At 34.6% G+C, this 25,215-nt stretch overlaps 1 long non-coding RNA gene across 3 annotated transcripts in view; it reads right to left on the reverse strand.

Moving 5' to 3' along the window:
- Positions 1-385: 385 nt before the first annotated feature.
- The window catches only part of LOC102724858 (uncharacterized), a 175,348-nt gene continuing 150,518 nt past the window's right edge, over positions 386-25,215 (reverse strand). Inside the window, exons 4-5 of one of the 3 annotated variants that reach the window (XR_007060968.1) lie at positions 21,201-21,291; positions 386-8,920 (exon numbers count right to left, since the gene is read on the reverse strand). This is a non-coding gene — a long non-coding RNA (uncharacterized LOC102724858). Of the gene's footprint in view, positions 8,921-17,701; positions 21,111-21,200; positions 21,292-25,215 lie in introns of those variants that run through there. The other 2 variants (XR_001745961.3, XR_929061.3) reach the window with 2 other exon arrangements.

The following is a 25,215-nucleotide window of genomic DNA, read 5'->3' on the forward strand; positions in this document are numbered from 1 at the left end:
GGTGACAAAAGAGCTGGAAATATAAAATATACTGAGAGCAGAGGTCAAGAACACCAAGGAATTAAAAGCATTGTGTACGTGGTAGAATCATATTTTGAAGTCCAATTAATTAGTCTTCCCCTTTACTTCTTCTTATGTGACACATCTTTATATATCCAAATCACTCACTTCAGAAATGGATTAGCCGGGCGTGGTGGCGGGCGCCTGTAGTCCCAGCTACTCGGGAGGCTGAGGCAGAAGAATGTCGTGAACCCGGGAGGCAGAGCTTGCAGTGAGCCGAGATCGCACCACTGCACTCCAACCTGGGCAACAGAGCGAGATACTGTCTCAAAATAAATAAATAAATAAAAATAATAATAAAAAAGAAGAGTCATCATGTAGCTTATTATTTTAAAATAAACATTTAATGGCATCAAAGTCAGAGACACAGTGACGATATTAAAATAAAAATTTTTTTTGAAAAGTTAATAACTAATTCCTTGTCCTAAAGATTGCAAGAGAAAAGGATGGGCTACAAAAATAAATAAATAAATAAAAATAAAAAAGATGGGCTTCTTTACTCCCTCTTAGATAAATGTCAACTGATGTGGAGAAGAAAACATGGTTGGGCAGGTGGGAGAACACCCTCAGAAATGTACAGATTTTACAGGATGCTAAAGAAGTTTGGCACCTTGTCCTCCTGAGGAAAAGAAGCCTAGAATGAGAAGAAGAGAATCCCAGAAAATCAAAAGATGGAGGGAACGTCTGCTTTGATTTCAATATTATAGTCCTGAAGTGAGACTAAGCCTTGGGGAGAAGTGTCATTTTCTGTACATTGCTGGGCCAGTAGATTTAAAATGGCTCTGTACATTTTCTAGAAAAATGGGTCAGATCCTCTCTGCATGCTCCAAGAAAGTTGTGAAAGTTCTTTCAAAATGAGACAAAGGATTCTTTAAAAGAAGGTGCTGCACATAGATTGCCTAGTGTGAAATCAGAAAATAACCCAATTTAATTTTGCAGGTGACCTTAGAAAGGAAAATGACTGTTTTAGCACTAAGCTGGGCAGTGTGTTTCAGCAAAGGCCAAGGAAGTTTGGTGCTGATGTTTGGAGATCAGTGGATATGAAGACGGAACAGCCAATTCCAGCATGGCTGAAGACCAATAATGAATAACTTCACACTGCTTCCTCATTGACATATATACCCCTTCCGATACAGTCCTAAATGGAAGAAAAAAGAATAGAAATTATGAATTGAGTTTACAATGGAAATGACTAGGAAATGCTGGAAGTGACTAAATTTGGCCAGAAATAATCACATTACCTTTGATGACATCAGGTGGATCAGATTTTAAAAAGAGAATAAATGGTTTTTCAAAAAAAAAACTTATATTTACTTTAATTGTACATTAAACATGTACAATCCCCTCTTCTGGCAATTGCTAGCAACTGAGTATAAGATTGGGAGTGAGAAAATTTCCCAGGAAAAATCAGGGTCCTCACTTGGAAATTCAAAGCAGTAAAACTAAACAAAAGCTAAAGTTCCTCTCAGTGCAAATCAGGCAAAAAAAAAAAAAAAATCTAGAAACAGAAGAAAGGGAATGAAGATTCACAGCTAAAAGACAGCATGACCAAATGCAAAGAAGGATTAAAGTAAATGGCTATAAACAAGAAAAGAACTATAAGGTGGTAGGAAAGGGCTTGTGAGGAGGGGATTAGGAAAATGTCCAGTGGAGTTACAAGGAAGACAGATCCTGATACTGAAACCCATTAGATTCAAGATCACAGATCCATAAGTCCTCTAATACCTATAGACTAAAATGTGATTGGCAGACCAGTGCCATCATCATGTCAGCATCACCAGGAAGCTTGTTGGAAATGCCAAACCTCAGGGCCCACCCTAGGCCAACTGAATCAGACTGTGAATTTTAACAAGAACCCTACATGAGTCTTACAAACACTAAAGTTTGAGAAGGAAGCTGTAATTAATCCACAGAGGAATGCGTGAGAAAATATGAATTTAAGTTCTATGTGAATGGGAATTTTGCCTGTTTTATTTGTGGCTCTGTGAATAGCATCTATAATATTGCCTGACACATGGTGAGTACATAATAAATATTTGTTGAAAAAACAATCTATCTTAATTCCACCTTTATTATTTAAAAAATCAAATAAAAGTACCTTCAGAGTTGATAGTTTAGCTTTTGAATATGAAAGGCAGCCTTAATCATTCCCCCTAACCAATAATTAAAAAAAGAATAAATGCCAAGCCTTTGAGGATTTCCTTATATATTTCAAATTCATCAACACTTTTACTCTCTCACTATTCCTCCATATCATAATGAAAAGGGATTCAAAACTCCACAATTTTCTAATTTATTGTTGGTAGGTAAGAAAGTATTGCTTATAGAATTAACACATTCCATATTGTACTCTGTATTTCTCTTGATCCATACATAAATGGATCATTCATTCATATATTTACTCAGGACATGTTTCTTCTATATTCCATGAATTGTACTCAGTCTTCTGGAGAAAAATGCGAAACATATACAATCACTACGCTTAAATAGTTTAAATCCAGTGGGAAAATAAACATTTTAACTACTAACCACACATATTAAACAGAAGAGAATGAATTATGTAAAGTAGAATTTATATGCAAAATAATGAGAGAAGTTGTCAAGCCCACACAAGAAAAGGCCAAAAATTAAGACTGACTGATTAAACAGCTAAAAATATAATGTGTCACTTTTAGATTCAGCTTATTACTTCCCTCGACAATGAAGGGAAGGATAGCAAAAGTGGCCAGTTTCCAATGGTCCATTTTCCACACATCAAAAAGAACAATATCAAAACAAAAAGGGGCAAGATTGGCTGCAACATGAGTTGTGGGATATCCTGTTCCTGAGGAACCAGGTTTTGACTGCTCTAAATTGTTTTACAATTTGCAATACTATGGTGAGGGGACAGGAAGAAAGCCCCACACCCCATCAGAACTTGAAGGTGCTGTGAAACTCACTCCCAGCAGCCCCCCAGGGGAGATGGAGAAGGGAGTGGGAGCTGGCCTCATAGCAGCCCTTCACAGGCCCCTCATCCTCTCGTGTTCCAGGAGGATTGAAAGGCATTCTGGCAACACTCACATTAGCTTGTGTTCAAGTCCAAGTGTTTGTCTGTAGGGCCTATGTGGACATGTGCAAAGCTGTAAGGTCACCCTGGAGGAGTCATTGCCCTACAGAATTCAGAAATAGGAGTGATAAATTCTTCTTGATATTGGAAAGAATTCACCACAGAGCCTTAAGGTAAAGAGGTTTTGTTTGTGGCATCAATGTTTCTGCTCTCAAAAGCAGCATTATAAAACTGGGAAAAGATATGAGAAGTAAGTAGAGGTGAAATGCATCCCATTCTCCACTTTTTTAAGCAGCTTTGCTGAGAATGAGTCCCATGAAGTTGGTGTGTGCAGAGACGCATTGCCTGAATAACTAGAAGAGCTGATGGATGATACCCCTGCACCACGCAGGCAAGTGTCTATCTGTTTAGGCAGAGTGTGCATGTGAAAATAATCCCGAGGTAAATAAAGTTAGTAAGGAAATAAAGATATGGACATTGAAAATGAGGAGAAAATAACAAAAGGAATATAAAAATGTTATAAATAGCAATATTTGTAACTTGTTATTCTAAGAGATGGTAACATAGAAACTGTAAGAAGAATCCAGTAATGTTTCAATATCATATTAGGCATAGGTTAATGCATCCTATTGGATCTTCTTGATGCTATTACCTTACAGCACCATAGCTGCTTGTTAATCTTCAGCCATCTCATGGTATTTTCTCCCAGAAGGGCCATCCACAACCCTGCTGCCATAGCCTACTGACTCAGTGTCTGGTGCTCTCCAGGAGGGCTGAACTCACTTTTCCCTTTGGATTGAAGGCCAAACCAGTCACAAACTGTAAGAGGCAGGCTTCCCCGATCCCATCACTCCCTGGTTAGATAAAACATGTGGCACATAATATCTAGTTTACAGAACAACTACCAAAAGGACCAGAAAATACAACTCTGAGATTCAGGGCAGTTAATTACTTCCTTGATAGGCAAGGTTTGTTAAGTGGAAAACCAGAACCGTGAGAGAATAAGTTTCCTCCCTTTCTATTCTTCCATAGAGTTATCTGTAGAATGTTTAATCCATAGAGCCCATCTAAAGAGTCATGCATAACCAAACAGATGCACGTGCCGATTGATGGGCTTATTTTTGTGGTTTGTGTAAAGTAGAGGGCAGTGCTATAACACATGACTATGCATTTTTTCACATCCTTCTCTGTCTACTCCTGCTCCCCTTTTCCTTTAATCTCACTGCCTTGGGATTGCACCTTCCACATAAACAATTAGCACTAACTCTTGCTTCAATTTTCTGTTCTCTAGAGAAAAAGGGCTAGGACAGAAATATGTGTGGACGAAAGTAAAAATATCTATGCACAAAAGCAAAAAAAAAAGGATGGGTTCAGAGCTCTTCCAAACCTTTGCTAATTATGTGACATTTCCCTGGAAGAAAAAAAAATACTATCAAAATCTCTCCCCGTGCCTCATACATAGCAGGTACTTAGGCAATGTTGGTTGGGTAAAGCACACAATCAGAGTTTAATAGAACAAAGGCCATCATAACTCACTTCTTATCAGTCCTCTATAAGAAAAAGCCTTCTTGCTCAGTAATATGGCCAGAGTTAACAGAGATTTCACTGTACGAATGGAGAGAAATGTCAACTGTAAAAGTCATTATTTAAAAAACCAACAAATAAGAAACCCCAGTTGTGGTATTTGGTAACAATCAGGACAGTTTTAATTATTCATATAATTTGTTTAGATTATCACTCTTACCTTTTGGTCTTCTTTCATCTGACGCCAACTGAGGACTTTGTCTAAACACCCAAGCCTAGGCATCACCATCATTGTCTCTGTCTTTTCTTCTCTCTCTTCCCGTCCTTTCTGCATTCTCACAGTGATCTTAGCCACTTACATGACATTGAGTATAATTTGTACCCAAATAAATCTCATTGTACTATATCCATCAATGACCTCTCTTCATTTCTTCTGTATATTTTCTTTAACTTTTAAAATATTTTACCTAGAATGATTCACTGACTCATCCCATTTTATCAAAAACTGAACTCTTCAGTACATTAGCCAGTTCTTTTTCATGCCTAATTTGTGACAACGATGTTTACTCCCTAAATATGCCTATGTTCATTGAGCAAAGGTAGTTACCAGATATTGACTGAACTTATCAATGATTTTATTTTGTAAATTCCACATGGGAAAACCTGTTCCCCATCCTCAGCTTCTGTACACCAACACTGGCCTTTTAGTTACTGATTACAAGCCTATTAATCAGGTGTCATAACCAAGCCCTTTCATTGCTTTTACTTAGTTAATTTCACTCATTAAATTCTCTAAAATGCTACTCTATCTCATCTGAATTCACAATTTAGAGGGCAAAGCTTTTATTTACTCGAATTACCACTAAAAACCTATCGACTCATTGAAGGAAGAGGATGTGGAAATAGAAATATTTCCAACATGCCTGAAAACATTACAAAATGAAAATGGAATAAAGTGCAGGGGAAAGCGATAGGTGCCAGTATGCTAATATGAAAGCAAAAACCTGGGAAAGAAGACACAGATTGATTTGTTTCAAAAAGCTGAAAGCCTGCAATCTTCTCTACCACTTCTATTTATGTTTCGTAGAATAATTACAATAAATGCCTAGCAATGTTTTTTCCAAAACAGACTCACATTTGTCACGAATCCTTTCGAATTTGTTTCTGAGAGTTCTGTGAACATTCCTTGACACCAAAAGAAAACCCAGTGAAGATATCCTTAGCTTACTGTTGTTGTTTTTATATATAGAACCAGTAGATTTAAAAAAAAATCTCCATCAGTATACAATATCGAGAACAATCACTACAGCAGTTACTCAGACTTCAGGTTTTGGATTCTATCTGAATTCCAAATTGGCTGAATAACACAGGGCAATTGCTTTACATAACTTCATTGTCATTCGGTTTGCTCATAGGGATAATAATATTATAATCCTTACCTAATAGCCATTACTTTCAATGGTAAAAACCGCAATTATTTTGCGCCAACCTAATAGCACCCACCTAATTGGTTTTTTTCTAATGATTAAATGCGATAATACATATAAATTGTTTAGATGAGTGACTGGAATAATTGCTCAATAAAAAGAAGCTTTTCATTACTAAGTCCTTATTCTCTACCAGGAACTACTTTGCATCAGTCGAAGGACCGTGACTTACACATTTTGGTGTTATCCATGTTGTATTGCTGTAGCAATTCAATAAATGTTGAATAAGTGAGCTGAAATTTTCAGATACCAATGATTAAGAAATGATTCTGAAATTTTCCACTTGATTCACTACTCATAATATAGAGAAATTAGGTTGAAAAGAGGATTATAGTTATATTGCTTGTGCTGCTAGCACTTCATTTAATTTGAGAAAATTATTAATCATTTTGAAATATCAAAATAAATGAGCACAAATGAGCATGTGGTTGAATAATTGTAATTCCTACCTAATATTTATTAAACACTGATTTTCAAGCCAGGCATTACATTAGACTTTAGCGAGGCAAAGATGAGCCAGACAAGATTTCTACCTTCATGAAACTTACAGTCTTCATGTTACAGGTCAGGTAAAAGAAAGCTGCCGAGCTGGGGAAAACGGATGTTGTGCCATTAAATAAATGAGGAAAAGGTACAATGTAAGGCATTTGTCTTCAGAATGCCTCATCATTCATTGCATGTGGAAAAGTTTTTTTTTAAAATATATAAAATGACATTCACTAATTGATAATAAATGTGACATGTTAGAATGTCTAAAGATTAAAAAGTTTCATCTATCATTTTTATACTAATAAAAACAAAAAAACAGAAAGACAGGATTCCCCAAGGATCTTACATGCCCATCATTTTGCAAGCAGAGAAACTGACCGCCTGAGTTACTAAACAAGTCAGGCAGAGTTTAAACACCTCTCCCAATACCTTCTTCCCTCTAAGGACTTCAGCTGGTCACTATGTCAGCCAGTAACTGCCACTGCTTCAAACACTTTTCCTCCTTTATTGAGAGCTCACCCACAGAGACCCGGGCAGGCAAAGGCAGAGTTCACCTTTGCTTTCATCCTTGGCTGTGTCACGTACCTGTGCAAGCGGAATCCCCAGTTAGAGTGATCCCTGAGGCCAAGGAGTTCTATTACACAGCAGCAAGAATTGGTCAGCTATTTGCTCCTGGGAAAATCCTACTGCTGTGACTAATAAGTATTTCAAAAGAAATAAATGAGCATGTCATTCATTCTATGATTACAGGATGAGTTGCAAGGGAGTTGCTGGCCAGCAGGCCCTTTACCTAACCCTCAGTTACAGAGTTCTTTCCCTAAATAGTACAAATTGTCCCAAGACGGGATTAAATCCTTCTTCAGCCACTATCATGGCAAATCTGGTGGAGGATCACAGCATACGGTTAGACAAAGGGAATCTTTGTTACATTTAGTGGGAAAGAAGGTGGTATTTGTGCCACTCAAGTCAACAGAAAAAGTAGTTATATTTTATTATATTCTAATTATGTAAGCTATAATTATAATTACAATTTCATGGGCAATACATGCAATGATCGTTCTTCACAGAATTACATGCAAGAAGGCATATTGTATCATGTTCTCTCCAAATTGGGATATGCAATCATTACTTACCACCACCAGCATTGCTATCATTGCAAAACAAAAAACATAAAAATGTATGACCATAGCATTAGTGATTTCTTCTCACCAATATCTGGGACTTTGTATATCCTAGCTCTTCCTCAAAGTCAAGGTTGTCTATGACATCATCTGTGGAAATTTCCCTGGAAATGACCCCATTCTTTGAACTTTCCCAGCATGTATTTTTTGTTTTGTTTTGTTGTGACAGAGTTTAACTCTGTCTCCCAGGCTAGAGTGCAATGGCACGATCTCGGCTCACTGCAACCTCTGCCTCCTAGGATCAAGTGATCTTCCCGCCTCAGCCTCCAGAATAGGTAGGACTACAGTCCTGCACCACCATACCCGACAAATGTTTGTATTTTTTGTAGAGATGGGATTTCGCCCTGTTGGCCAGGCTGGTTTCAAACTCCTGGGCTCAAGCAATCCTCCCACCTTGACCTCCCAAAGTACTGGGATTACAGGCCTGAGTCACAGTGCCCGGACAGTATGTTTTTTGTACATCGCTTATGATATATACCACATTCACCTTGGACTCTAGATATTTACAACCTTATTTAACTTTATATAATGAATAAAATTTTCTGGAAGTTTAGATTGATGTGTAATTTACCCCAGTATAAATGATTTCTTTATGTTAGGTATTCAGTAGATACACTTTTGATGAATGAAGAAAAGGGGAAGTTTAACGACAACCAGTGTATTGTTTTCACTCTATTAGTTAAGTTGTATTTTAAAATAAGCCCCCTATTTTTAATATAATTAACGTATTATTAGTGTCTATATGTGTTCTACCAGCTTTTTCTTAGTGGAGCAAGACTGCCTAAGCATTGTGTCAGAAATAACATACAGAAGCCAGCAACAAGTAGCATGGTGTTGTCTTCAGAGTTTTTATAGACCCACCTCCTAATGGTCCATTGGGCCTCATCTTGATGTTTCCATCATTGGTTTCTTCATTCTCATTTGTTATACTCCAGTTCTCAAAATTTTGAATAGAATTGTCTAGTCTTGTCACAGTCTCTCTTTGTACTGATGATTCCTTTGTGCTTATTTACCTTTCAACCTTCAGCTCTTTTGCTTGTGACATAGCCATAGCTCTAGACAAGAGATACTCTTTCGAACAACCCTAACTCTGGGGGTGGAGGCTTGGTAAAATTTCCATGTCAACATCTTTTCTGCCAATGAAAAGGAATTAAACATACATATAAAAAGTTTGATTTATGTTATTGTTACCAAATATGTAAAATATCTATATATTTATTTCTACTTTATACACTGCCTACTTTCAAAAGTACAATTAAAATAAGAGAACGTTAGAATACACAGACAAGCAATTTAGTTTTATGCTACACTTTATGCTAGTGCAGTTATTCAGACTGATCCTTAAGATTAGTTTTGACTCCCAAGGTAAAAAGGAAAGAAAATATCGTGGTTCATATAATTAGCAGATTGAAAAAAACATAATTTTTTCATTTAGATAAACATTTTTTCTATTTCTAAATTCAAATAGGATTATAAATCTTCATGTGAGAGACGCTGATAAAAATACATTTAATAATGATTTTATAGAAGACAAAAAATTTTTCTTAATGCATTTATGACTGTAGAAGTCAATGATATTATGCTAATGCCTAACTGAATGAAGACAACTGGTAATGACCTAAAAATTATAGACATTTCTGGTGCTCAAATTCATATGGATATAGATGGAAAATCTGTAAAAACCAATGACTAGTATGTCTGGTAAATAAAATTTCTCATTACAAAATTGTATCAATCCAACATTCTTTACTTAGAAAAAAATATTCTTCACATGTGAGAGTGAAATAAAAACATCTTTAGATAAATAAAAGTTGAGTTAAGTTTCCTGTACTACAACATATACTAAAAGTAGGCCTTCAGGTATAGAGAAATGTCAACAAATGTAAAGTCAGATCTACAGAAAACAATAAAAAGCATCAAGAATGGTAGCTATGTGTAAATATTTAAAACTTACTTTCTTTTCCTTATTTTAATTATTTGAAAAAATTTTTGAACATTTAAAACTAATATATTGTGGAGTTTATAATTTAAGTATTAATAAATTATGTGAGAAAAGTACAAAAAGGCTAGAGTTAGGTCTAATTATTATCTAAGGTTTTTATACTTTATATAAAGGATAAATATTAATTCTAGTTAGAGTGTGACATGTTATGGCCAATAAGACAGATGGAGATAAAAAGAAATACTAAAATATGTAATTAATAAAAAAAAAAAACAAGAAAAGAGATGGAAAAGAACAATTAAAAGATGGGACAAACAACAAATACGTAGCAAGATGGCAAACCTAAATCAAGTCATATCAATAATTATATTAAAAATGGAGTAAACAATAGAACATATTTGATCAAATATTGGACACATATTTGATCCCCTTATAAAAATACAGGTAGGTTAAAAGGAAAATGAAGGTAAAAAGCATATCATGCAAATACAGACAATATAAGAAAGCTGGTGTGACTATATCAGTATTAGACAAATTAGACTTCTGGATGAGAAACATTACTGGAAAAAGAGAATGACTATTTATGCAATGAAAGGGCAATTGAGTAGAAGATACAAAAATTGTAAATGTTAAAACATATGAAGAAAAAAATGGGCAGATCTAAAAAGTAAAATTAGATACATTGATAATCATAGCTGAATGTTTTAATACCCACTTTTATTATTGATTGAATTAGACAAAAATCAGTAAAAATATAGAATATTTGAACAGCATGATCAAGCAAAGTAACTTAGGATTTATAAGATATTAGCCCTAAAACTACAGTATTTATATTATTTTCAAGTTCATATGTAATATTTTTTAAGATAATTAATATTCTGGGCATAAAATAAGTTTTTTAACACTTTTTAAAATTAAATTTTATAGATCTTTTTCACTATAATGAAATTAAATTATAAAACAGTAAAAATAAGATATAGGAAGACTGAAATATTTCAAAATCAAAAGCATTTTTCTAGGTAACATATGGTCCATAAAGAAAAAAATATATATATTTCAAGTGAATTTTGAGTTAAAAAAAAACACACTGAAATTTGGAGGACACAGGCCATAGAGGAAAATTGATAACTTTAAATGTCTATATTACCAAGAAGAACAACTTAAAATCAATAACATATACAACAATAAGGGGACATCTTAAAAATAATAATTATTATTATGCTATGGCAAAAAAACAGACACAAATTCACACTCTTTGATTTTGTTTACATGAAGCTTAAGACTATGAAAAGCTTAAAAAAATGTGAAATAATAGTTGCCTATAGGAGATGGAAATGCCTGGAATAGGGCATGAGGAAAGTTCCAATATTAGTGAAAAGATTCTATATCTTGGTTAAGATTTTTGTTTTTTGGGTGTGTACATTTGTAAAAGCTCATTGAATTTTATCCTTAAAGTTGGGGCACTTAACTGTGAACTTTACAAAAATGAAAAAGAAGGGACTGATAAGATGCAAACAAATCTCGAATTTCAAAAGAAACCTAATCACACTCAGAATCGCCACATCACATTTCCACTTGAATTCCAAAGATTCTAATAATCAAACAGTATCAGCTGGCTTTTAATTTAAAGTCTTCATTCTTCGGCTAATTTCAGTGATTGTGTGCTGACAAAAGGAGAAAGATTTTTTATAAAGTTATTGATGCACTTAGGGCATAGCTCTTAAAAACTATTTTTCTCGTGTTTATTTTCTAGCAGAGTTTTTAACCATAGAATATCTTCATTTCAACACCTGTCAGTCAGCTTATTTTAAAGAATTCAGCATTATGACAGGCTCACCATGCTCCCAAATAACGGCAAAACTGATGTGCAGGAGATGGTTATATAGTTCTGCCCATTTGAACACTGGACAATGTCAGCTGAAAACAATTATTTGAATTTTGACCTAGATGATATTGAGCAGTAATTGAAGAGCAATTTCCATTATTTTTTGAAACCACTTTAAGGTTTCAGTAATGTCATATATGAGCTATAGGAAGATGCTATATTCCTGAGTTCCATGACATATATAAATAAATATAAAAAATATATATATTTTTAAATAATAAATTTGTATTCCAAGTGGTGTGAAATAAAAATAAATGAAAGAAATGTAAATAAATTATATTTTCCAGATGAAAAAGTTGATTTAGTTTTAAATATGTTGTATATGTATATAACTATATATAGAAAATATATTATATATTTAATATATAGTATGTTATAGCTGCATATATACACAGCATATATATATATATAATATGTGTGTATGTGTATATATATATGCTAAAAACTAAATCCAATGTATTTAGTTTTAAATACACTGTATAAAACTAAATACAGTGTATAAAACTAAATACAGTGTATTTAAAACTCAATCAACTTTTTCACCTGGAAAATATAATTTATTTTTATTTTGTACCCGTTGGAATAAAAATTTATTCTGTCAACATACTTAAATTAAAGACACATTTTAATCATTCTTATGTGTTTCCTTTTTTCCTGTCATGAGTTGACTGCAACATTTACCTATTGAATAAGAAAACGATGACTTGAGGTTTCAATATTCAATATTCAATGAAAACAACAATAAAACAACAAAAGGAGTGCTGCCTGAATGACATTAGTCTCTCTCTTTTTATTATTATTATTATTATTATTATTATACTTTAAGTTCTGGGGTACATGTACACAACGTGCAGGTTTGTTACATAGGTATACATGTGCCATGTTGGAATGATGAGTTGATGGGTAGTCTTTTTTTAACTGCTACGGAAGCAATCATGAAAAATAAACTAGGGTTCAATAAGGCCAGGGACCTATATGGTGGTCTTGCTTTTAGTGTAGATCACAATACTTTTAACAACATATTTTTTCCTTCTCACACAGTAGCAATAACAATCTCTGTATATTATAAAGCATACATTATGTGTTTACATCTTAGAGTGTTTCTCATTTTCCAAGTAAAGTAGTCATGTTGGGCTTGATCCTCCTGCCATTTTATATAGATATAGATATAGATATAGATACAGATATATAGATATATAGATATATATTATATGATAATATATATGATAATATAATATATATATATATATAATATATTAGTTTCTTTCACATGCCAGGAACTATTCTACATGCTATAAAGAGAGTGAAGAATAAGACAGGAAAAATCCCTTTCCTCATGGGACCCTTATTCTTGTAGAAGAGATTGGCCAAGAAATAGCAAATATGTAACACAAATTTAGAGTGAAATCTCCCTTCATAAGGTGGTATTTGTAGAGAGATGTGAAGGAAATGCATAAGAAAGCAAGAGATCTGAAGGTAGAGCATTCCAGGAAGAGAAGATAAGTGCAAATATCTTGAGACAAAATATACTTGGTTTATTAGGGGAGTGGTGAATAAATTAAGAGTGTCCAGAGTGAGATGAATAAGGAGGAGAGTGGGAAGAGATGTGTTCAAAACGTAGGTACTGAACAGATCATGAATGGGTTTGTATCTTGTAGTGAAGAAGATGAAGTCAATTTTCAATGAGATGGGAGGAGATTGGAAGATGTGAAGTAGGGTAAGATGATATGATTATTCTCTCTGCTGAGTAAAGCAGTGACTTTAAGGGGTAAGAGTGGAAACAGGAATACCAATTAAAAGTTCTGTCAGTGTAGAAAATTAAAAATAAGACTAGCTATTTTAAGCTTGAAGAAATTTGATGCAAGGAATTAGCTTACAAATTCTATGGAATGATTAGAGTAGTGAGCTATAGCCTGACTTCTGACATACAGGAATCAAAAAGCTAGAGTCAAGATGTTGTTGGTTATCATTCATGATGCCACAACTGCCTTTCCATACTCAGGAAATTAGAGACAGGGCCCTAGAATACTGCTGCAGAATAAAACTCATTTTCCATAAATTTGCTAGTGCTCAAGGAAAAATAAAGCCAAAGATTCAGGAAGATATCTGGATTCAGAAAGATTCTGTCTTTCCAAGTTCGAGCCAACATATCTAACTGAAAAAGAAAAATCACATTTAAGAAGTCTTACTGCAATGAGTCTGGAAAATGTGGTTTCTAATTTCCAGAACTTCCAGAAAAGAAAAGCACTCTAGAATAAAGGCAGGATGAAGATGAAACAAGCTTGCATCCATTATACTATGCATCTGTTATGCTATCTAGGAGGGAGAAGATGGTGGTTTGGACTAAATTGGGTGCAGTGGACACAGTGAACCATAGACATGGTCAGAATCTTGATAAATTTGAAGAGAGAGCTAAAAATACTTCTTGAAAAACTTACTGAATGTGGAATGTAAGGAAAACAGTAGAGTCAGGGTTTATTCCTCCTTTTTGGTCTTATTAACTGGATGAATGTTAGTCATTTCCTGAACTGGGGATGATGGGATGAGGATGGAAATCAGAGGTTCTGCCTTGGCCACTTTTAAGTTTGAAATGCCAGTAACGAGATATAAGATGGTTGAGTAAATCTGGGTAACAAGGAAGAAATGTATTTGGGTGGCATGTGCATATGAATGGCATTTAAAACCATGGCAGGGTGAAATTGCTTTGAACGTGAGTGTGAAAAAAGAAGGAAATTAAGGGCAAACCCTGTAGTACTTCAACGCTGAGACAGCAGAAAGAGAAGTAGACCTGGCAAAAGAAGCTGAGTACAGGTAGCCACTGGAGAAGGGCAAGCCCAAGAGAATGCAGTGTCCAAGGAGGTCAAGTGAAGACATGGTTTAAAGAAGGAGGGAATGATCACCTGTTTTAAATGCTTAGAATCAAGGAAAATGAAAATCGAGAAGTGGCAGAATCTCCATTCTAGCCACGAATTCAGCTAGTGGAGAAGGCAAGGGTTGAACCCCAGAACCAGTTGGAAAATTGGAGTTTTATATAAGGCAGACTAAATTTTAGTCATGGCATATGACCCTAAGTTCAGAATTTAGGGAGCAGAAAATGGGATCACGGACTAGAGATGAAAGAAACGCCATGTAAATATTCTTCACATGGCTTAGTTGACTTCTCAATAAATCTGTTTCAGAGGTATCAGCATTTACAACAATAGTAAGATACAGTATCACATGTAATTTTATGAAGGCTGTGAATATATTCATTTAGTCAAGTATTAAATATTTGTTGAAAATTTACTAGGTGCCAGGCACTAAAAAAAAACTTAGAAATTGTATATGAAGATTACTGGATAACACAATACTGGTATTTTGGCAGATAAAGATGCGTAATTGTGGACTATAATTGTGAAAAATTTCTTACATATTGTTTTGAAGTTATAGTTCCAAATAAACTTGATTAATTAAAAGTAATAACTATTAGTATAACATATTGTTTGTAATAGAATCTCACTTTATCCCCATGATGTCTCATAACATTAAGTTTTTATCATCAATAATTTCTGGATAAAGATACACAGTTTGAAGACATTTCAAAATTTGCCCAAGGCTATATAGCTACTAAATAATAGAGCAAGTGTTAGATACTAGGTCTTCTGACTCCAAACCGAACCCCATTAATCTTTCATCCTTGTCTAATCTGGCTAGAATATTAGGGGTGTGGGGGGTAGAAGTTAAGGAGGGAAATATTTGGAAATATATTGTTTTCATATAGTTTTGTTTAAATTTATTTACTTGGACTTAGCATCTTCAGCCTTTCTCGTGTCATTGAAAAATGGCTGTCATGTAAAAGTGTGGTAATAGAAGGTTTTTGAAAAAGAAAGAAAAATGCTGATGAACATCCAATGAGGAAGGGGACTAAAGACTGTTCATTAGACTGAAGATTGTTAGTGCTTTGGAGAATATTCATTGTTGTAGCTGCCCTTCTAAAATTGGAGGTTTTATGTCCACTGTGATGCTAAGTAATTGTGTTTTTCATGTGTTAGGTAGCACCAATGCTTAGGAGCTGAATAAAATGAAACTCACATAGCTGTTATCGTAGGATTTTTACATTTTTACCCTAAATACCTTAATACATTGGTTGATGCTTTAGAAAAGATTCTTGGTACTCAGTAAGACTATGAGTTTGTGACATCTACAAGAGTAGACCTGACTCAAAATGTTGATGAAAGTTGAGTGGACAGTCTCCATTCTGATAACTTAACATACAAGTGTTTTCTCCAGTTTAATTACAAACTATGTTTTTGATATTACCTTGCAAAGCCCAGAGAGCTGAGGCTAAGCCCAATCAACTGCAATGATGTTTGTTACAGTATTAACTTATGTGGGTGACTACACAATCACATTTACCTGTACATGATCAATTGTTGAGATTAGAAGAAATAGTAGTGATTTATATTATGGTATATTTGGTGCAACTGACATTTATGAAACACATTGTATGGCATTTGTCATTTTGTAGTCACTTTGATGAAAATATGTAAGAATGAAATTTTTAACCTATTTTAAAATTATCTTTGCCATTCATGAAATCAGAACTATTGTGCTTATAGTTTGAAATCTTTCATCTTACACAATTTAGATTTTTAAACATTTGTGCTTCTCAAATAATTTTGAACTGTGTTCATTCAGTGGTGTATTTAACAAATGATTATGGTGCTGGAGTTCCTATTTTGTGTCATGTACTACATTGGGTGCTATGGATAAAGTAATAAAGACAGATATGGTCCTATAAACCAAAATCTGCATTCCAGTAGGCATGCAATTGGAATTTTTTGAGATATGGAATTTTTAAGGATACCCAGTATCCTTCTAAACCCCAGAATTACATATATTACCAGACAATGAGAAGAGATATCCACTGCACTATTGTTTAAATCATCATGGTTCCAAGCTATAGCTTTGTTGACCATAAAAAATTCAGTGTTGGATAGAATTTACTCATTGAAAAATGTCTTCCTATCTCCCCCTGCTTAATATCCACACAGTATGGCCCTGCAGTAGTCCCAGCCATTGCCTATCAGTACAGCCAGGCAAACTGGTAGTCAAGCAGCCTGTTTCCTGACATTTCAACTGACGGCCAGTTCATATACCAGGATTTCATTCCAGTCACTATTATAGTCACTATATTTCTGAAGGCCAGCCCATATTAAGGTATGGAACTGATTGACTGGGATTGCATCAATAAGACAAAGATTATTATTTTCAGGACCTTCTACATGCTTATTATTTCTTGTCATAAAAATCTATGTTCATTAAAGAAAATCTGGAAAATAAAGTGCAACAGTAGATACACAAAAAATATTGCTAGTTCCATCATCTCAACATAACCACTGCTAACATTCTGATGTATTATTTTGATTTTTTCCTACACATAAGCTTGATTTATTTATTCTTTAAATCTCTATCTTTTCTTTTTTATTCATAAAACCATGTGAGGTCCTCTCAGTGTTCACGGTTACAATTTCCTACTTAGCAATTTTCAGAGATTTTCATCAGGTTTGTCAACATATAGATGAAGAAGGAAGTGGTTACAGATATGAGACAGAAAGAGAGAGAGAGAGTGAACATTTTTTTTTCTTTCTTTCTTTCTTTTTTGTTTTTGAGATGGAGTTTTGCTGTTGTTGCCCAGGCTGGAATGCAATGGCATGATCTCGGCACACTGCAACCTCCACCTCCCGGGTTCAAGCGATTCTCCTGCCTCAGCCTTCTAATACTGGTATTATAGGGGCCCACCACCATGCCCAGCTATTTTTTTTTTATTATTTTTTAACAGAGACCGGGTTTTTATCATGTTGGCGAGTCTGGTCTCGAACTCCTGACCTCAGGTGATCCATCCACCTCAGCCTCCCACAGTGCTGGGATTTCACGTGTGAGCCACCACGCCCAGTCGAGAGAGTGACCATTCTTAGTGTCACCTTTGATGCCATATAAACACTTGTCATCTGCCCTTCAACACTGGGGCTCTTGTAAGCTCAATTCATAATAAATAAAGTCAATATTTTTTAAAAGAAAAAATTCTAACTAGAAAGTTTCTGTAAGTTCTTTTTTTAAAGTTTAACTTTTATTTTAAGTTCAGGGGTACATGTGCAGGTTTCTTATGTAGGTAAACTTGTGTCATAGGGTTTTGTTGTTTGGATTGTCACCCTGGTATTAAGTCTAGTACCCATTAGTTATTTTTACTGATCCCCTCCTTCCTACCACCCTCCACCCTGTGATAGACCCTACTGTGTGTTGCCGTCCTCTATGTGTCCATGTGTTCTCATTGTTTAGCTCCCATTTATAAGTGAGAACACGCAGTATTGGGTTTTCTGTTACTGTGTTAGTTTGCTAAGGATAATGGCCTCTAGCTCTTATTACTGCTCTTCCACAGTAAGTCAGAATGCTCCTTCTGTGTTACTCTTGGCTGTTGTATGTGTACTGTGCATTACTTAGCATTCTTACTTGTAGATAACAGACTATTCTAGCTGGTTTGATCACGAATGTATTGATTAAAATATAATAAAGTGTTTACAAAGTTACTGGAAGAGTTAAAGGAACAGACAGTAGGCTGAGCTGCCAAAATAAACTCCCCAAATCGCACCACAGATCTAGCAAAGAGACAGCTGCCATTGACAACCTCTAAACTACGCTACTTCTGTATGACCAGGATTTCATTAGAAACTCTTCCTCACCAACTCTTTCACCAGCAAAATGGATGCCCTACATTTAGAATTTCCCCTCATGTAGCTAACTTATAAATAAAAGGTTTGCATGAGTGTGTCTGACTGAGAGATGTTAAGTTCTTATATCAGTATCCTAGTATCAAAGAAGGTTGAGAAACGTAGATTTTTCCCCAGTTATTTTGACGAATTTTTATTCCCCTTGGAAAAACAGGATTCACAATGTGAGGAACTAAAAAGGTGGAGAACGTGCTTCGACCATTTCAATTGCAGATATTCACAATGGTCTGTTTCTGAAATTGAACATAAGCAGTGAGGAGATAGAAAGATAAAAATGAATGTAGTCTCTACATTCACCAAAGTGTCACTTAAGTGTCAAAGTGTTGCCAGTTCTTAAAGTCACCAAGTCCTTTCTCCCATGGCACATATGTGGTGCATAAGTACCTGTGTTAGAATTGGGTCTTTTGTCAATTGCCATACTGTTCCTGGCATCATCACAATTTTCCATTCTCCAAACCTATTGGTAATTCCCCTCCAGCAGATCAAACTCCAATTTTTTAAAAATGTTTGTTTGTTTTAGCTTTTTTTCAGAGACCCTTTTTCATGTATTCAACAAATATTTGTTGAGTCTTTAACAAGTGCCAGACCATGAACTAGCTGCTGGTGACACAGCAGTGAATAAAACATTGTCCCCATAAGGAATGTACATTCTAGCACTGGGCAAATAATAAGCAAGTCAAATGTATATCTCAGGTGGTGATGAGTATAAAGAAAAACATGGCACAGTTAAGGGTGGTTAGAATGGTATTTTACATAGTTTCATTGCAGAAGGATTTTTGTTTCTGGTAATTTAAAGAGAGTCCTGAATGAAGTAAGGGAATGAGCCATACACATGCTAAAGGAAGGAACATAACAGGCCTGGACACTGGGAAAATGGAGCATCTATTTATTGAGTTGGGGAAGGTTAGAGGAATCAAGTTGGAGGGGAATGCTGTGAAATATATTTTACATGGTTTGTGCAGAAGAGCTACTAAAGTCAAAGTGGGGATGCCATGTCAAGTGGATATTAGATATGTGAATTTGGAGTTAAAATTTTCATTATATGTAATTCTCATCTGTAATTAGATGAGATTACCCAAAACAACTGGACCCTAAAACAACTGGACCTGGACACCCCATTATTCAAAGGAGGAGAATGTAGAAAAGGAAACTGAGCTAGTAAGATGGAAGAAATAAGACTGAGTGGTGCAGATGCCCCGCCCCATATCCTTTAGTTCACCCGAAGCTTCAGCTTCAGGGTGTATTCAACTGGTAACAACTTCCAAGGTATGTGCCACACAATTTCTCAGAAGGTTCCCAGTGGGTACCAGTGTCCCATGTGGAGAATCTTGCTGGTTCATACAACTTCTGGTGACTTTTGCCACTTTTCAATTTCACTTTCTCCACTTCCATAACTGTGCTTCTGTTTACCTACAAATAAACTATCTGTACCCAGGTCCTGTCTCCTGATTTACTTTGTGAGGAACCCAAACCAAGATAATTGATAATCTTGACTACAGCTGTTTTTTTTGTGAGTGACGGGGAAAATGCTAAATATAAGATGTTCAAAGAGAGGAAGAACAAATATGTATACTGACAATTGCTTCAAATGTTTTTTATCTGATGAGGAAAAGAGGAATGGAAGGGGGAGGTTGTGGCAATGTTTTTTCCTTTTTGTTGATGGAATATATTGAAGCAAGTTTTATGATGATGAGAGCTATCTGGCAGCTAGAGAGTAGTAGATGTGAATATGGTAGCATGTGAAATTTCTTTTTTGAAATAAGTCTTCTGCAGAGAGTAAAGAATTGGGAAAATATATTCAGAGAAAGAGGCCAAGGTGTAAAATAGTTTTCTAGAAGAGTAAGAGAGTAAATGACTATTGTACTATGTAGAATTGCTAGCCACTTGAAGTTAGCAGTCAGATTTACTGTGAAACTTGTCAGGATGCTCATTTACCTTTCTTTAACAAAGATCAGTTCTCTTTGAACAGGTGTTAAGTGGGTAGAAACTTGGATTTTAGAAACTTTGCTTATTTTCCTAGGTACATGGAAAGCTATGGAGTTGTATGCATGTCAGTGATTATAAAGTCAAACAATAGATCCAGGTGAGAAAAGGAGCAAGTGGTAAGATAAATCAATTAATTGTGGGATTTAATGTGATCAAATAATAATTTGAGTACAATATTAGAAGACAATTATTTGAAAATACAGGGGATGGTGCTCATAGAACAGGATCCTTGAAAGTGCAATTCTACTGGGGAAGAGATAAAAGAGGACGCTCTTACCGGTATCATATAGAGCTGGGACCTCTCTTCCTCCCTTAAATTTAGGATCAAAATCTTCTATATTTTAATGTCACCTGACTCCTACTGGGGCTACCTACCACAGTCAATCAGACCTGTTTTCATTCATCTTCACTCCAATGGTGAACATGGTTCACATTCTTTTCTTCAGGATATCCTCAAATACCATTAAATCCTATTAGGACAGTAGATGTAAGTGGATATTTCCAGAGAAGTGTTTCATTTCTTCCTCCTTTGATACCCAACTCTTGTACAGCAGGAAGCACTATAACTGTTAGAACCTAAACCACATTGATATTAAGTGGCAATTTGCCTACCATGAAATGTGTGTTCAGTACATATTTATTAACTGTTGGCTCTTGACACACATGACATAATCACATGAAACCAGAGACAATATAAATCTTCAGATTTTCATGAGTGGAACTAATCTCTTCCTTCACATGAACTAGAAGGGAGAGAAAGGAAAGAATAATATGCTGGCATTGTCATTCCATTATGAAAGCTAGAGTTGAAGATGATTTCTGCAACTAGCTACCTGTTTTCTTCTTGGGGACACAGCACGATGCAGAGAAGGCAACAATAGCAGCAATCCTTTTTCAGGATAATTTCAATCCTTTTTGGTATAGCTACAAGATGTTAAAAAAATTAAAGTCACTAATAAAACCAATTAATGTATTGAGGAACTGTGACCAAAAAATCTAATAACTTTTATTTTTTTGCATTTTTCCATGTCCTTTGGCTATTCTTCAAAAGCATCCAAATTAATGGGAATATTCCAGTTGTTTATTGCTGGTACAATTTTTTTTTAGTCCGGTGATAAAGGAGATGGTAGCAAGAAAAGCATTTTTCACTGGTCAGAATAGAATAGAAGAAACCTTTGTATTTATGGGGGTATTAATGCAAATTTCCTGAAGAAAATGAAGTTTTTGTTACCTTAATATTTTGTCTAACTTAAACATATATATGTATACATATACACATATGTATAACATATAGGTATACACATACACATATGTATGTATACATACATATACATATATATGTTATACATACCTATACACACAAATATATATAGTCTCTTAAGAACAGACATGAGTATTAAGCACAAATTGTTCTTCAATGGTAGAAATAAAATTCAATATAAATAAGCTCTGTAGTGCAGAATGAGATTTTCTATTACCAACAATTAAACAGGAAGTTTTCAAGCAGCATATGAATAGCTCTCATGCAGATGCCACTACTTGGAATTCTTGATGAAGGAAATAAATGGTAACAAATCAACTAGGCCTAGATATATTTAAATGCATGTAAAGACTTTCTTATTTAAAACCAGATTTCTGAAGCTTTAAAATCTATGAATAACATGGAAAAAGCAAAAGCAATAATATTAGTATAAGCTATATGAAAATATGAAATGCACATTAATCTGAAATAGAGTCTTCATTCCCGAGTTAACTAGCAGTCATTCTGTATGAACACAAACTCTTAGATCTTTCTTATGAGAAATTATAATACTTCCAATATTTGAGGAGGGTGGGTAGCTAATTCAAAAGTGTATTATTATAAAGATCTTTATGTGATAATATTTCTATGATTTCTTATAATGTAAAGGGAAATGAACAGTTACGGGAAATTTAGTGACATATATGAAGACAAACAACAGTTGATGAAAAGATTTAAAATATTTTATCCTTTGCTCAGCTCCTGATATCCCATAAGGAAATGAGACCATTAGACCTAATTGTCACCAAGAGACGCAGAAGGGACCAAGCTATGATTTCAGTGAAACTGGGCCCAAGATTCAAAGAAATTATCTACCATTTTTTTAACCTTCGCATAAATCCAGAACTAATCTTTTTCACTTTTTCAAAAAGCTATATATGTACATGTCATTCCTTATCAGGCAGTATGCTTCTTGAGAAAAAGGATATTTTCTTCATAGTTTTACTTCTACAGAGCCTAGCACTATGTTTTCTTGCAAATGGGTTTTCAGCAAATGTTGTTAGAATTGGATTAAATTAAATATTGTCAAATAAAAGGCTAAAATCTGAAATAATAATGAATGCAAAGAGATTTCAATCATTAACTAATAAGTCTCAAGTGATCTCCAACTAAGTAGAAGAGAGTAATTTATAACTGACACTGAAATAAAAATTAAGATGGAAATAATTATGGATTATTTTTAGCAAAGAAATGAGAAAGTTAAGGATATAAATTTTTAGAGAACTTTACTCACAAATTGGAGGCTAATGAAAATAGTTAGTGATGAAATGGACGGTGAGTGAACAGTCTAAACCTGAAACATTTGGGGAACAGTGCCAGTTTAAAAGAGATCATTAAATATAGTTTTATGGAAGGAGAATAAGATGACCAAAAACTTGGGGAGGACAATATGTCTGTATTCTTGTATTAAAGAATGCTACCCACTGCAATGGTTGGAAGATTATACTAAATGAAAAGTAAATATAATAATATATCACAGGAAGATAGGATATAGTCTATCTAAGGACATTTAGATGACAGAAGAATTTTAAACATATTGTAATTTGGTGTTCCAACTATTTTTTCCACTTACACTTCTAAGCACATCTTTAAAAAATTAGCTACAAAACATTACAGTGAATTTTGCAGTTAAAACAACTTCTCATTGTTGCAAATTATTTTCTGTTCACCTAAATTCTAGGCATATGCTGTTCACTCAGAATGTAAGACTTTCTATATTTCTCAGTTGAGAAATTCTGATTTATTTACAAATATTTATTTATATAGTGTTTTCTTACGCTCCAAGCTTTCTAAGTGTTTTCCAAAGATTCATTCATTTAATCCTTATAATAACCTTATACTGGAAATGCAATTATTATTATTATCTCCATTTACCAAAGAGTGAACACGATGCATACAGAAGGTAATAACTTGGCCACAGCCACATAAACGGTAAGTGGTTGCTCCAGGCTCCCGGGGCAGGCAGGTTAGTTCAGAAAGAAAAGCCACCCACTTACAATGCTCTGTTGCTCAGTCACAAGTAGAATAATAATGATTTATGTATGACCTCTGTCTATAAAGCAACAAGTTTATATTTTTAATGAACACCATTGGAACTTATACCTCAGAATGAATGTTCTTTCAAAAAGCACTCAATTCAGATGCTGTACATTTACTTCAATGAAGCTGGCATTTACCACATTATTTGTGAAACATATTTCTTACCATTAGAACAAGTTTCAAATTCCAACAATAAAATCAGTAAAATATCATGTTGTATTTGACAAGCACATACATCTTATCTGTCAATTTAAAAATTTATGTTAAATAATACATTTTAAAATTTAATATTGCTATTTAAAATCTCTTCCTTTCTACCTCTGAAGCCATAAAATATCTTCTAATGAGGTTCCCATCATTGCAATCAAGGCATGATTGGCTTGAATACTTTTCGACATGACCCCAAATCAAATTAATTCTCTAATACTGAAAACTTTTTGCCATGAGAGATATTTCTCAAAAAATTGTCAAGGGTGGTGTACACAATATTGTCTGTAAAGGGCCAAGTACCGTGCCCATTACAAACTAAAAAAAAAAAAAAGTTATTCCTCAGTTGTCATCAGTTTTATTGCTTCTTTCTTTTAGAAGCTGCTTTCAGTCATCCTTTCCATTTTCTCTGCCTCTATCTTATTCTGAGAGGCTGAAAGATGATTGAACAACTTAAGCTTCAGGTCCTGTCTGAGTTTCCTATTGCTACTGTAACAAACTACCAAACATTTAGTGGCTTATAACAACACACATTCATTTTGTGTTCAAAATCAAGGTTTAGACCCCAAATCAAGGTACAGGCAGGACCGAATTCCTTCTGAAGATTCTAGAAGACAGTGTTTCTTTGCCTTTTCCAGTTTCTAGAAAGGCCTTCTGCATTCCTTGGCTTATGGCCCCTTCCTCTATCTTCAGTGAGCATCATTCCAACCTCTGCTTCCATTATCAGATTTTCTTTTTCTGACTCTGATTCTCCTGTATTCTTCTTTGTCTTAGAAAAACTCTTGTGATTCCCATAAGCCCACCTGAATAATCCAAGATGATCTCCCCATGTCAAGATCTTTTACTTAATCACAGCTGGAAAGTCTCTTTTGACATGTAAAATAACATATTCACTGATTTGAGGATTAGGAGGAAGAAACCTATGGAGGCCATTATTCTGTCTATCAGAAGGCCAGATAGCCTGAGTTAAAGCCTGGTTCTACTATTCATTTACTGCTTATTTTTTTAAGCAAATTATTTAACCTTCCCAAAAGCAAATCTTCTTATCCATGTAATAAGACTCATAATAGTATGTAATAAGATTCCAGTGAGGACTAGATAAGATTGTTCTGTGTATATAATATTTATGCCTGTCAAACTGTGATATAGTTTAGCTATGTATCCACCCAAATCTCATCTTGAATTGTAGTTCCCATAATCTCCATGCGTATGGGAGGGACACAGTGGGAGGTAATTTAATCATTGGGGTGTTCATCCTCAAGCTGGTCTCATGACAGTGAGTAAGTTTTCACCAGATCTGA

This window comes from Homo sapiens, chromosome 8, assembly GCF_000001405.40.
Source record: "Homo sapiens chromosome 8, GRCh38.p14 Primary Assembly".
In the NCBI taxonomy this organism is placed as follows: Eukaryota; Metazoa; Chordata; class Mammalia; order Primates; family Hominidae; genus Homo; species Homo sapiens.